The following is a 14,571-nucleotide window of genomic DNA, read 5'->3' on the forward strand; positions in this document are numbered from 1 at the left end:
GGAGGTATTTCTGAAGCCTCTTTGGTAACTGGCCTAAAAAACAGATTTTTATGTTTTATCAGAATAATTTCCTATGTTGTCTTTATTGATTACTTAGGAAAACTGAGATTTGAAAGGGTTAAGATATTTGAAAATATATATCCATGAAATGTCTGTGTTACATTTAAAGCCTTTGGTTATCACTCTGGTTAAATACATGGCTATTACTTCATAGTGACTTGTGATACTATTTTGATCAGGTGTTTTAAATATTTTGGCATCTTTGACAGACTTCCTCAGTATCAAAATTGTAAGTTAAGTCTTTCTGATCTAAAATTAACTTTGGGATTTTCCAGTTGAGCCCCTGGAGAGCCTCAAAGGGTATATTTCTCATCTTGTAAAAATATTGAATGAAGAGGTTTATTTGGCAAATTGTACGGAAAACATTTTCAAATGAAAAGTAATGCTATATTTTCTTTTGATTACATTTATGAGTATGTTCTTAATATAAACATCCCCAAATTATATAAAACTCTTAAAAATCTAACATGTCATCAGTCATAATTCTGGTTATGATGTTGATTGCCACATAAATAACCCAATTTCCTTGTCAATTGCTGATTGTAATGAACTTCCATCAGATTTTTAACGATGCTATTCTAAGTCTCTGTCATCTAGTTTTAATTCTTCTCTAAAAGCATTTACAGTCAGATTCATGGAAAAGACTCTAACAAGTATGCTTAAGTATAGATTCTAATAACTTTGAAACCAATGTACTAAATACAAAATTTTCTAAACGCTAATAAATAACTGATACATTCATAAAACTGAATCAAAATCAAGCAAAACAAAAATTAGATGATATTTTAACTGATGAGGTTAATGTTTTTAAATGAAGGCTTTCATTTAAAACAGAGTTTATGACAAGTTTGTAAATCATACTTTTGTGAACAAAGGTAAGAACACTTACTTTTTCTCCCTACTTGATCCTTCTAAAATTCAGAAACTATTTTTGAATATTCGTAGGGTAATATGGTTATTTACATAAGTTCAATAAAAATCAATTGTCTTTTTATAACAGGATACAATTGGAAACATTGGTTATATTACCAGGGTTTTGACTGAAATATCATATTTCAAAATGTACATAAAATGCCCGACTTCAAGGATTCTCAGCCTTATAGTAAGAAAATAAAAATTGTCACTTTCTGACAGATCCAGAAATCTTTTAAGACTGTAGATGAAATCTAAAGTCAGCCTTGGTTTGGCTCTCTAGCCTCAAGAGGTTTTTAAATCTGAGATTCCTATGTGATCAATGTAAAGGAAAAGTTATCTCTTTTAAAAAAGCTATATTATGTCTGTTATTAGATTGTTATTAGAATAAAGCTCTACACATTGTTTTCAAGTTCTTGCTATCTATCAATAGACTAGATTCTGAATTCTTCTAGATTCCTCAAATTCATTTTTTTCTACAAAATTATCAAAAATGGAAACTGCTCCATTCCTGAAGCTCTAGGAGCTAAAATTAGATAAACTTTAAGGGATAAGTCTTCCATTTGATGTATGGGCCACACAAAAAGTTCACCAAACCGCACAATGCCATAACCAGAGATATTCAACCTCCAAACAAGATGAGAAGTTAATGGTTTCATGCTATAGATATGGCTTTTCCAAAACCATCTGAGCAAGACTCCATATCATGAGACTCTTACTCCTCTTAATCCCTACCTTTTTCACGTGGGAAGATAATAGTATAATTAAAATTTTACAATCAATAGCTTCTGCTGGTAACTTGACAAAACCTGACCTAACAGATCCTTTAGTCTACTTAGTGGGTGACTTTGGCAACATCCCTAATACAACTGTTGTTCACTTTCTGCTTTAGTTCAACTCAGTCATGAGATACTAGAAAATAAAATTATATTATTGGTTAAATTTTTAAAGTCTGTGCTATTGCTAGTGCTACATGCTGTAACTGGATAAATTTATCTGAGAAAGGAATATACACAAAATTTAAAATATTTAGGTCACATCTATTGCCTTTAAAATTGCCTGGCCACTGCTTCTACCATTATTATTCATACCGCATTTCGTTGCAGCTTGTCTAAACAATGCTGGGCCAATACTGTGCTGCTCTTTAGCTGCTCCGCTTTGCCAAAAATTGCTGTGCCTCTGATACATCCGTTCTCCTGATGTGGCAAGATCAGCTTGCATTTTCTGCTAAACTCTTCTTCCTAACCTATGTGCTATATTTCTGTATATGGGTCCTAAAACCGTGTTATTTTACACTACCAGTTTCTTAAGAAAACAGTTATTTCTGATTTGCAGCTTTCTCTCCAGGCAAAACTTGTTTACCAGAATCTTTGGATCACTGTTTTTTTTGTTTTTGTTTTTTTTTTTTTTTTCAAGCATCCTTATTGGGAGAATAAACTGAGGAATAGATAATGTTCTATACTCAAAATTATCCCCTTCTAGGATGCACCCATGGTAAATGGACCACATGCACATGTCTGAATCCCTCTTTCAATAGGAATGCTCTTCCAGAAAGCCCCTCAGCACGACGGGCTTCCCGACTCTCCTTCCATTCATGCTCAGCTGTTCTAGCTCATATTTAACAAAACCGTTGAAAAAGCTGCATGTAATCCTCATTCTATCATGTGGAATCAGTTGCTACCAATTAATTAATTCCTTTTTTTTTTTGCAAAGTACTGAGTTTAAGGGTGATTTATCATATTGTTTTGGATAGTTTTTAGCTCAAATGCATTCTAAATGACAACTGTGGACAATAGTCTTGTTATACCGGGTAGCTAGTGCCTCCTAAGGAATGATGCTATAAGCCTTTTATTCCTCCCTCCTTCACTCCCTGTCTCATTCCTTCCTTTTCCTCCTTCCTTACATTTTTCTTCTTTGGATAAATAGTTTGTTGAAAGCAGCAGAATTCCACATTAGCCTTGTCAGCCATATGAATGGTTAACATGGTTGCCTCAGTATGGAGTCGTCTACCACCCTGTGAGTTGCTTTTTCCTTGGTTGGTGATGGATAACTCCCATATGCTAGAATCTGTGGGTCATCACTATTATTGTGGCAATGCTGAAAGATGTCAGTGTTTCTTCCGAGGCTGAACTTCACCCTCTATGATGTGTTTCTCAATCTTTCTTTCATTATCATGCTCTACTTCCTGCCCACTCAAACCCCTAGAAGCCTTTTTAACTTTTTATTCCCTAATCACTTCCCTTCTCCCCCACGAAATTTTAATACCGTAGATACGCTACATATCTGTTTATGCAGTGTTGTCTGCCAACCATTGCAATAAATAAGTTTTATTTATTTCACCACTCCTTCCTACCTCTGCTAAGAACCATTTTTTACCCATGGGGCAATATTAATCTTCATAGAGGATTTATGCTTTCTGAAAAAAAAAGCTCAGATAATATTGTCTTTTTTCTTCTTTTGGGGGAAAGGCAGTTTGATATAATAAAAAGATTAGAGACTTGGGAGTCAGAGAGATGGGGGTTCTGTTTTTGCCATTACCAGCTGTGTGATCTTGGGAAAACATCTCAGAATCTTATTTCATAAGCAGTAAAATGTAGGAAAGTATACTTAACTCATAAGGCTGTTTGGAGATTAAATTTAGAATTCCTGTGCGATCTTTGGCATAGTGACACTCACATAAGTATAATTCCCTAGTAGTTACTCTAGGTCATATTGGTCAACTCATCAATTTCTCAATGCCAATTACCTTCTGTCTTCTTGAAATCGTATTATTCCTGGATTAATTCACACACTATCTCATACTCATTTCCATAAGATGTTACAACTTAATATAGATATTCTTCAAACTGGTTCATTTTCCTTCTGGAAGGAAAAACAGCTTGTATTTAGTTAGAGCTCACAGAACCCAGATCACGTCATGTAGAAAGTCAAACAGAAAGCATACTCTGTAGGTTAAGGAAAAAATTCCACAGGTATTCATATTTCCTGGGTCTGGAATTGAACAATAACTTCTTAGATCTTTGCTAGAAATTTTGGAGTCTGCTCAGTAAAATGGACACTATGGTAGTCCCCCCTTATCCATGGGGGATACATTCTAAGACCCCCAGGATACTCCTGAAACTGTGGATAGTGCCAAACCCTACATAAACTATGTTTTTTCCTATACATACATACCTATTATAAAGTTTAATTTATAAATTAGGCTAAGTAAGAGATTAACAACAATAATAATAAAATAGAAAAATTATAACAACATACTATAATAAAAATTACGTGAATGTGGCCTCTCTCTCTTTCTCTCTTAAAATATCTTATTGTACTGCACTCACCTATTTTCAGACCTAGGTTGACTGTGGGTAACTAAAACCTCAGAAAGTGAAACCTTGGATAAGGAGAGACTATTGTGATTCTAGGAGTTCTTGAGAGTATGCCTTTTAAACCTTCTTAATCCTTGCTACTCAGACTTTGATTCGTAGACCAGCAGCTCCAGCATTCCCTGGGAACTTATTAGAAATGCAGACTCTCAAGTCACACCCAGGAACTACTGAATCAGGATCTTCATTTTAATAAGGTTCCCAGCTGATCTGTATGCATTGTAAAGTTTGAGAAGCACTTTGCATAATCACTTTTCTTCCTCTAGCTGCATCCGATAATCTTTTAATTAACACTATTTGCAAATATTATTACCTATTCATACCTATTAGTGCTATTAACTAAATACTAAGCCCAGCCTTCATCAGTAAATCTTGTCCTGTAAAAGTTGTACACTGGCCACACACATAGAGTGATTCTAAATTTTAGTTATGAGGGTGGGCGTGGTGGCTCACGCCTGTAATCCCAGTCCGTTGGGAGGTCAAAGCCGGTGGATCACCTGAGGTCAGGAATTCGAGACAAGCCTGACCAATATAGTGAAACCTCGTCTCTACTAAAAATACAAAAATTAGCCGGGCATGGTGGTGGGCACCTGTAGTCCCAGCTACTTGGGAGGCTGAGACAGGAGAATCGCTTAAACTCGGGTGGCGGAGGTTGCAGTGAGCCAAGATCGCGCCACTGCACTCCAGCCTGGGTGACAGAAAGAGACTCTGTCTCAAAAAAATAAAAATAAATAAATGAATAAACTTTAGTTATGTTTATAACTTACCTTAGAAGCCTACTAAAAATGCAGGTTCCAGGAGACTACCCAACAGAAATTAGTATTCACTAGATTTATGATGATGTCCAAGAATCTGAATTTTCTATAAACACTTAAGTTTTTTTTAATGCAAGTGATTTGTAGACTGTAGTTTATGAAATATGGCATTAAACTATTTAATTTAGAAAGGATCTTGCTCTTTCTTATTCCTTTAATCGTAATGAGAGTTGCTGGTCACTTTGATGGGTAGAGAGCTCAGGCAATGTACACAAAGCCAGTTTCTTAGAATACTTACTCATCTCACTGTAATGTTTTTAATATTTTCTCTGATGTTGTAACCCTACTCTGGGAAAGAACATGTGAGACTGGCTGAGGCTGCAGAAAATGTATTGCAGTACTCATTAATGAAGGGGAGAAATTTTTATCACTTAATCCCTCTTTAATCAATGACCACTGCCAAAACAACTAATGTTTATTATATTTATAACTTCTTTTGTAAGTATGTAGGGGAGGGGAGTGTTAAAAATCCAGATCCATCGCATTGCTTTGAAGACAATTTCAAAGTATGTCTTACCTAGCTGTATATACTATTTTGTAAATGCTGGGCAGTAAATGGTTAATTCATAGCCATAGCATTTTCCCATAACATTTTGTGCTACAATTAAGGTATCAGGTAAAACGCATTGAAAGTCTTTCAGAAATTGATGCACAAAGCAGAAAACACATTAATAGGAGTACAATAGACAATTTTAGAGATAGCAGATCATCTTTCCCATCTTGCTTGAGAAACAGATGCTGAATAACCATCATATTACACAAAGTGTCCTTCAGAAACACTAAATGTAATTAGGAGTAGCTGTTCCTTGGAGAAGAAAATAGCATAATAATAAGAGGGTTGGTGGCACATATGAAATGGAAGAATTACATAATCCTCTGTATATTTAATGCTACATAAAAGGTTTTTATGTCCAATGAGAGAGCCCATCAGATAAGAGAGCTTGGTAAATGAGCACATTTGACATTGAACCATGTTGAGGGTCAATATTGAGATTTTGACTTTATTTATTGTTGTTATTGTCAATTTTTATAACAAACATTGAACTATTGATTACATGGGGGGCATTATTTTTTTGTTTTTTAAAGAATGACTTCTTTTAACTTTTATTTGCCTTTCAACATTACAGCCACCATTGGGGTTTCTTAGATAACAGAACTAGACTTAATCAGTAGAAATTATGAAAATAAGAATAATTTTGAGTGTCTGTCTATATCTATTATCTAGCTATCATCTCTCTCTCTCTCTCTCTCTCTCTCTCTCTCTCTCTCTATCTGTCTACCTACCTAGCTATCTTTCGGAAGGAACTAAAGATTCCTCCAAGGTCCCTTCTCCACTTCAAGCCAATTTGATTCGTAAGATTCTGAGGGCATTTCTGGAATCTATTTTAAAGGTAATATGGCAGCAAAAAGGAAAATGTAATAATACCACAGGAAGTAATACAGGGCCGAGTCAAGAAAGCTGTGGGTCATAGGGAGCAGATGGACTATTTAGGAACAGACCTAGGAAGGAGACTATAAGGCCAGAGAAGGGATTTTCCATCATTAGTTGTTTATGGAAAGTGAGTAAAAATACTCTTATGCATCATCCCAGTTCCCATGATGTTTTGAGTGTCTTTTCTATAAAGAGACTGTTATAAGAGGTAAGATTACTAGCAGTACATCCAAGGGACTGCAGCTGGTTTACCTAATCCTTTATACTGTGATTGGTAAAAATCACACAAGGTCCAGGGTAAGTAATGAGGCTGACATATCTTTAGGTGCATCTTTGTTACAAGTTTTGGATCAGCTTTAAAGAAATTGTCCTTACTTTGGCTAAACAAAGAGACAGTGTTTTATCTTTTTATTTTCTAAGGTACGTGTCTTTTCTTGTCCGCAGCTTATCAAACAGAACAATTACATCAGCCTTTCAGATTTTTAAGATGCTAGGCTTTATACCTTCCAAACAACACTTTTTGTCACCAGTGATGTTTACAGTAAGACTAATAGTGGGGAGCTTAACAGAGAGTTCTTTCATGGCCTCTCATATGACCTTGCTCCCTGGCTATCAGCGTGACCGAATAGACCCCAGTACATTATTGCTGACACGGCTTCATTCAAACTGTAGAGATGAGACGTCTCCATAGGCACACCAACTACAAATATAAACATCTGTTGGGTCTATGCAGAAGATAAAGTAACCTCTTAACAAAACAAAACAAAACAAAAACCCAAACATATGGGTAAGGTGTAGATCTAAGGAAGCTCGAATAAGACATTTTAAAGTTGGGTTTTTAATTAGATTGGGTTTGCTTAGAACATCCTTAGAGGGGTCTACTAGGTGAATTTAAAAATAGAAGTATGATAAGATTGGGTAATATTAAAAAGGAGACAGAGCAATGAGATTGAGACTCATAGAGAAATTTAGGACACTTTGCTAACTGTATATAGAAAGTAGCTTTGGAAAAGTACATAGAGTTTCTCCTACAGTTCTTGGCAGTCTTCCAAAATCAGAGTCAGAGTTCTTTGAATTTGGAAAGAGGGGATTGTTTAGAGATAGGGTGTCTATGGGGCCTCTGGGCAATAGGAATACTTTGCTTTTCAAACAAGAGGTGATATGGCTCTGGCATATCCATATATAGTTAGGTATCAGTGTGTTGTCACAGGGAGTACTTTAAGACAGAGCCATGCTAGAATTAAGAATGGTTAATCTAAGGAATGGAACCTACAGATGAGGGTGCTAAAACGGTTCTGGAAGAGAAAAAAGAGAAGCCAAACTAAAAAGAGACCAGCGTAAGTAGCTGAGGCTATAGAAGGGCTCATGGTTTATAAAGAAATAGAAACTGAAAAAAAGCAATTACAAAATAAGCTGCACTGCAAGTCCACACAGCTCTATCAGAGGCTATAAATGCTATTAAACTCATGGGGTAGTTTAGTTTTATACAATAAGGAAATATTGCTTGCTCTTACTTAAATCTGATATTATTCGCATCATTTAATTGCTAGTTTTCTAGGAGAGGGTCAACAGTAAATGGTTAACATTAGTGGCATTAGCCCTCAGCAAGCCTTGACCACTGAAAAAAGTAGTGGGTAACTTCCATTAAAATCAAAGTGGCAGGCAAAACCTCAGAATGCTTTCATAGGAAGGGGTTGGAAAGCACAAGTGCCGTCACTGAGGACCATCCTATCAAGATGAGCAGCATACTGTGTTTCTCTTTTCTTCCTTGATGCCTGGTACAATGCATGACACATAGTTTTTGTTTTGTTTTGTTTCGGCAATGATTTGTATGTGTGTGCGCCGTATGATGGGTCAGCTTAATGATTTCTTGTTAATGCTCAACTGAAATCTTAGTGTAATATCCTTTAAAATGTTCTTTGTGTTCTCTCCGCTGCCCTCCCCGCAACAACACATTTAAAATGGGAAAGCTATAAATAAAAGAAAAAGGAAAATAAATTAGAGTACCAAGTAAAAAGATAAGAGAAACCCCAAGTAAGAATAAATTTCTGGATAAGAAAACAAAATCGCGTGAGTAATAGCAGGAGCATTACATAATTAAACATGATATTTAAAAGTGGGGCAATGGGGTAAATTGGAACACATGTGTTTGGCAAAAGGAATTCATTTGTATGCAGAAATCAGGATTTTCATCAACTGCTCTTATAGTAAGTCTAAATTTCCATCTTTTGCCTTTGTACTTTTCCATTACACACAGGACATTATAACCAGATCAGCGGGGCAGCCAAGAGAGCAGAATTTATATTTCTAAATGAAAGTTGATAGTTAATAGCCTAGCTGCATAATGAGCCACATTTCTTGTGCAGAGTCCAAGCTTACACTGATTGCCCAAGTCTAAACAGTGACCCTCCCAAGGCTGATGATTTCCTCAGTAATCCCAGATGGCCCATGCTATGTGAGGCCCAATAAATCAACCCTATCTACAATATTTTTGCTGGAAACAGGGAGAAGCAGCCACACTGGGCTTTCTCTGTGACAGTGAGGGAGGCACGATATATACAACTTAGCTTACAGCAAGTTTCCATTCATAGAGGTGTCAGATACATTTAAACCACCTTGCAATTCATATTTTAAAATGAAAAATTTACCTTAGCATAGATAATTTGTGTTTTCTTGAACAATGGAGGATGCAGTGATGAGAAATACAGTAATTGAGGGTGAAATTCCTTGTAATGGTGATAGCTTATGTTTATTAAGTGCTTTCTGGGAGCAAAGCATTAGGTTAAGCCCCTTCCATGCATTATACCATTTAATCCTAACAAAATTCTGATGAGTTAAATACCACTGTAATTCATATATTAATGAAACAGAAACTGAGGTTTATAAAGGTTAAATAACCTGCTCAAGTAGCAGAGCCAGGATTTGAACCCTAATCTTGTCTGATGCTAAATCCCATGCTTTTACCACAGTATATTTGCTTTGCTTCAAAATATAATTGGGCAAAAGAAACCTAAAATTTGTTTGTAGGATCTCTCTGGGTAATGCTTTAATATCTTGTATCAATATAACATGCCTGTTCTAGAATTCAGAGAATTCTAAGACTCATCTTGTTGAATCCCTTCTGCTCCCGTATGGAAAAGAAGAGAATAGGGGATGAACATTCTTCAGTGGTAAATGACTATCATCTTTGCCTCTCACATTTGACCTATCTCTTCAGGCTCATGATAAATGCCATCTTCCCTAAGTAAACTCTTCCAGAACTACACTCCCACCAAAGTAAATATTAAGCATTTTTTCCCATGCTGTCCCCACCATGCTTTATGGATATTATTCTCTTCTCTGCACTTCTCCACAGATTTCTAGGGGACAATGTCTATATCTTACTCACAGCTTTATTACCAAAACGTAATGACAGGCCAAAAAGAGATTCTGGAATTGAACTCAATCTTATTTAGAATATTCTGCTTCTATTTCATCTACTTTAGTGTTTTTGTTTGCAATTTTAAAGTGCCCAAGAAATGAGAGGAAAGAACAAAGGCCAACTCAGTTGGTCAATTTGTACAAAATAACTTGAGCCCTGGCCAGGTGTCTATGCTGTTGAATTATTTGTCACATGGTTCCCAGGTGAGAGTACTCTGATGATTCTGTTCCAATTCATCACAATAGGGTGGAGAAGTACCACAGAGCACAAATTGTGCTGATGATGGTTGTTCAGTGCATCATCCTTCATATTTGCCAGAATTAATTCAAGCAGTCATTCAACGAACATCATTTGTACATTGAACAACATTAAGTTGGAGAGGGATTAGAAGACATGGTTTTCAGGAGAGGAAAATTACACAAATGAACATAATGGCAGAAGTCTGTGTTTTCAAAGACTTATTTTCCATTAGAGAAAACGTAGAATTTTGCTCCCTTATATATTTAGTATTTATTTTGTTTGGCTTATCACAAAAGCAATTTTTATATGGATAACACTTGACAGTTTACAAAGCACTTCCACACTCATTTATTGTTTCACTTAGTTTTCAAGATAGATCCTAATCAGCATCCTGCTGATGCTGAAAACCAAACACACTTTGTTATTTCTTGCATCCAGATTGTGGGAATTAGAGGCAACCACTGAATGGCCATGCTAAATTAAGGTCATGCTGATGACATAGAGAAAATGCTATTCTTTGGTTATAGATATTAAAAGATGCATTTCCTAGGCTAGACTTCTATATCTTTATAAATCAGCCCCCAGTTCCATTTTTAGCTCATAGCCTAAGGAAAACAATAAACTATCTCCTGCCTTAAAAAACAGCCACTTGAAATCACAACAATTATTTCATGCTAGGTCACAACTTTAATTTTTAATTTTTATTTTATGTTATTTTTTATTATTTTACTTTAAGTCCTGGGATACATGTGCAGAACATGCAGGTTTGTTACATAGGTATATGTGTGTCATACCGGTTTGCTGCTCCTCTCTACCCATCATCTAGGTTTTAAGCCCCGCATGCATTAGTTGTTTGTCCTGATGCTCTACTCCCCTCGTACCCCCACCCCCTGACAGGCCTCCGTTTGTGTTGTTCCCCTCCCTGTGTCCATGTATTCTCAATGTTCAATTCCCACTTATGAGTGAGAACATAGGATGTTTGGTTTTCTGTTCCTGCATTAGTTTGCTGAGGATGATGACTTCCAATTCATGGGTTGCACAGTTCCATGGAAAAAGCACGGTTACCTAGGATGGGTAGCATGCTTGCTTAACACCTCCCTTAGCTGGGGGATGGGGGATCCCCTGCCCCTTGTGGCTCTCAGGTGGGCCGCCACACCACACTGCTCTTCCTTTCTCTTAGTGGGTCTCACCAGCTGCCTAGTCAGTCCTGATGACAGAACCTGGATACCTTAGTTGCTGGTGCAGGATTCGCAAGCTGTTTTAGTTCTTTTCAGTGGGAGCCTCTGACCACCACTGCTTCTAGTTGGCCATCTTGGCCCCGATCACAGCTTGTTATTGTGATGCTGTCTGCCCATTATGATGCTGCACCTCAGGCCATTCCTGCACTGTATTATAACCAACCATCATCAATAAATGTAAGAAAACAGGGCAGAATATTTTTTATTACGGTTGTGTTGTTTTTAAAAAAGAAAAGTAGAAGGCAAATAACAGACAAACAGAAAAAAGCTTTTGCACATAAATGGCTTGTGCTTTTTTTCCGTAATAAAAGCACCCAAATCAGTTTCCCTCTAATGGGAAAAGTTGATTGTGTTTTAGAGAATGGCACATGGCTTCAAGGATCAGTTAAGTGAATTTTATTAGGACCCAAATGGGTGATAGGAGATTAATGTTTGCCTTCTTGAGAATAGCTGTGCCAGCTTCCTCCCAAGAAGGAAGCATGATGTAACTCGTTAAATACAGACAGTCAAGATGAGCTCCTCAGCCAGCTGGCCCCTGAGTTTCACACACCCCAGGAACTGACAGTGCAACCATATCCCACTTAATAAGAATGCAGTCTTACTTTTAAGGATGGCTCTAGGCCTGGTCATTTCCCTTTTGAAATGGCAATTGACTCATAAAACCTTAGGAAAAAAAGTGTTTTGGAAGGAAATCAAAAAGTTAAGGCATATACTTGCTTAACAGTGAATGTTCTCCAAAATAAAAAATGTCCCATCAATACAATTAGTACCAAAATATTGCCCACCACCAAAGTCCTAGTAAGAATGCAGAAATATTGGCAAAGAAAAGGTGACTCAACACCTTTCATTAAAAGAGGAAAAGCTAAAAGTAGTTACCTAGGCTTTTGATTCATCTGTTTTCTTCTTCTAGGACCAAGGAAACTAAAGGCTATGAAGTGCTATCAGTTGAGCAGATGAATCAGAGATTCACCTCATAAAATATCAGTTAAAAAGTAATAATTAAGTCATTTCTGTTTTAAAACATAATTTCCTATAGGAGGAAGGATATTCTGAAGATGGTGACAATTTCTCTCTGACTGGATTCAGAAAAAATAAGCTGATAAAGCATAAGCAACTTAGATTAGAATAAGGAAGACTTTCTTGATGAGGAGAGAATGCCCAATGGTTGAAGGGAAAAGTCTTGAAAAATTGACTATATTTTCTGTTGGAATGGGTCTAGTTGCAGTTCTGATAGGTAGAGTTGAAGTTTTTTGTTTTGTTTTGTTTTGTTTTTTTGAGACGGAATTTCACTCTTGTTGCTGAGGCTGGAGTGCAATGGCATGATCTTGGCTCACCGCAACCTCTGCCTCCCCGCAACCTCTGCCTCCCAGGTTCAAGCAATTCTCCTGCCTCAGCCTCCCGAGTAGCTGGGATTACAGGCATGCACCACCATGCCTGGCTAATTTTGTAGAGATGGGGTTTCTCCATGTTGAGGCTGGTCTCGAACTCCTGACCTCAGGTGATCCGCCCACCTTGGCCTCCCAAAGTGCTGGGATTACAGGTGTGAGCCACTGCGCCCAGCCACGATTTTTTAAAAGAAATCTTTCAGCCCCCTAAATCTTCTTAAAATTAACATTTTTGTTATGAAATAACTATACTGACATGCAGTTGTAGGAAACAATGCAGAGAGGTACCACACTTTACACAATAACTCCCAATGGTAACGTTTTGCAAAACTGTACTACAATATCTCAACCAGGATCTTGATGTTGATACAGTCAAGACACAAAACAGTTTCCTCACCACCAGGCGGTCCCTCTCGCACCCTTATAGTCATACTGACCTTATTCCTCCTTACCTGTTCCTGACCCTTGGCAACAACTAACTTGTTCTTCATTTCTAAAGTTTTGTGATTTCAAAAGTGTCTTATAAATGGAATCATACAGTATGTGACCTTTCAGTATTGGTTTTTATTTTTATTTTTTACTCAATATAATTCCCTGGAGATTCATCAAAGTTGATGTGTATACCAATGTTTATTCATTTTTATTGCTGAGTAGTATTCTTTAGTATGGATGTACTGCAGTTTAACCATTCACTCATTGAAAGAAATCTGAGTTGTTTACAGTTCTTGGTTACTATGAAAAAAACTGTTAGAAACTTTCATGTACAGGTTTTTATGTGAAAATAAGTTTTCATTTGTTTGGGTTAAATGTCTGGGATTGCAACCGTTGAGTTATACGGAATTTTCACATTTAGTAGAAAACTTTCAAACTGTTTTCCAGAGTGGCTGTACCATTTTACATCCTCCCCCACCCCCACAGCCATATATGAGTGATCCTGTTTCTCTGCATTTCTATACACCAGCATTTGCTGCTGTCACTCTTTTTTAATTTAGCTATTCTGATAGGTATATAGTGGGCTGTTACTTTGCATTTCCCTGATGATTAATGAGATTGAACCTAATTTCAGCTTATGTGAATACCATCTCTCTAGTCCCTTTGGCTAAATGTTTGTATGTGTCTTCTGGCCATTTTCTAATTGGAATATTTATTGTTGTTGTTTTTTAACTGTTGAGTTTTGAGAGTTCTTTATGTATTCTAGTTACTAATCCTCTTTCAGGTATGTAATTTCAAAATATTTTCTCCCAGTGGGTAACTTGTCTTTTCATTTTTTTTTTTTCTTGCTCTGTTGCTCTGTCGCCTAGGCTGGAGTGCAGTGGTGCAATTATGGATCGAGGTTAACTGCAGTCTCAACTTCTCAACCTTGTGAATTCAAGCAATCCTCCCACCTCAGCCTCCCAAGTAGCCGGAACTACAGGCATTTAACACCACATCCAGCTAATTTTTAAAAAAATATTTTGTAGAGACCGGGTCTCACCCTGTTGCCCAAGCTGATCTCAAACTCCATGGTTCGACCTCCTGATGCCCAAATCCTGGAATTACAGGCATAAGCCTCTGCACCTGGCTGCTTTCTTCCTCTCAAGAGCTTTTCAGAATTCAAATGGTTTGAAACTTTATTGAGATTAAAGTGATCATTTTTTTTTCTTTCTTTCTATTTTGTTATTATTGTTGTCGTTTTGAGACAGAGTCTTACTCTG

At 36.8% G+C, this 14,571-nt stretch overlaps 1 long non-coding RNA gene across 2 annotated transcripts in view; it reads left to right on the forward strand.

Annotated features, from left to right (window-relative positions):
* The window catches only part of LOC105374234 (uncharacterized), a 50,070-nt gene extending 35,865 nt beyond the window's left edge, over window positions 1-14,205 (forward strand). The window contains exon 3 of one of the 2 annotated variants that reach the window (XR_001741026.1): window positions 14,179-14,205. This is a non-coding gene — a long non-coding RNA (uncharacterized LOC105374234). The remainder of the gene's footprint in view (window positions 1-14,178) is intronic. The other variant, XR_001741025.1, reaches the window with a different exon arrangement.
* Window positions 14,206-14,571: the final 366 nt, after the last annotated feature.

This window comes from Homo sapiens, chromosome 3 (assembly GCF_000001405.40).
Source record: "Homo sapiens chromosome 3, GRCh38.p14 Primary Assembly".
Classification (NCBI taxonomy): domain Eukaryota; kingdom Metazoa; phylum Chordata; class Mammalia; order Primates; family Hominidae; genus Homo; species Homo sapiens.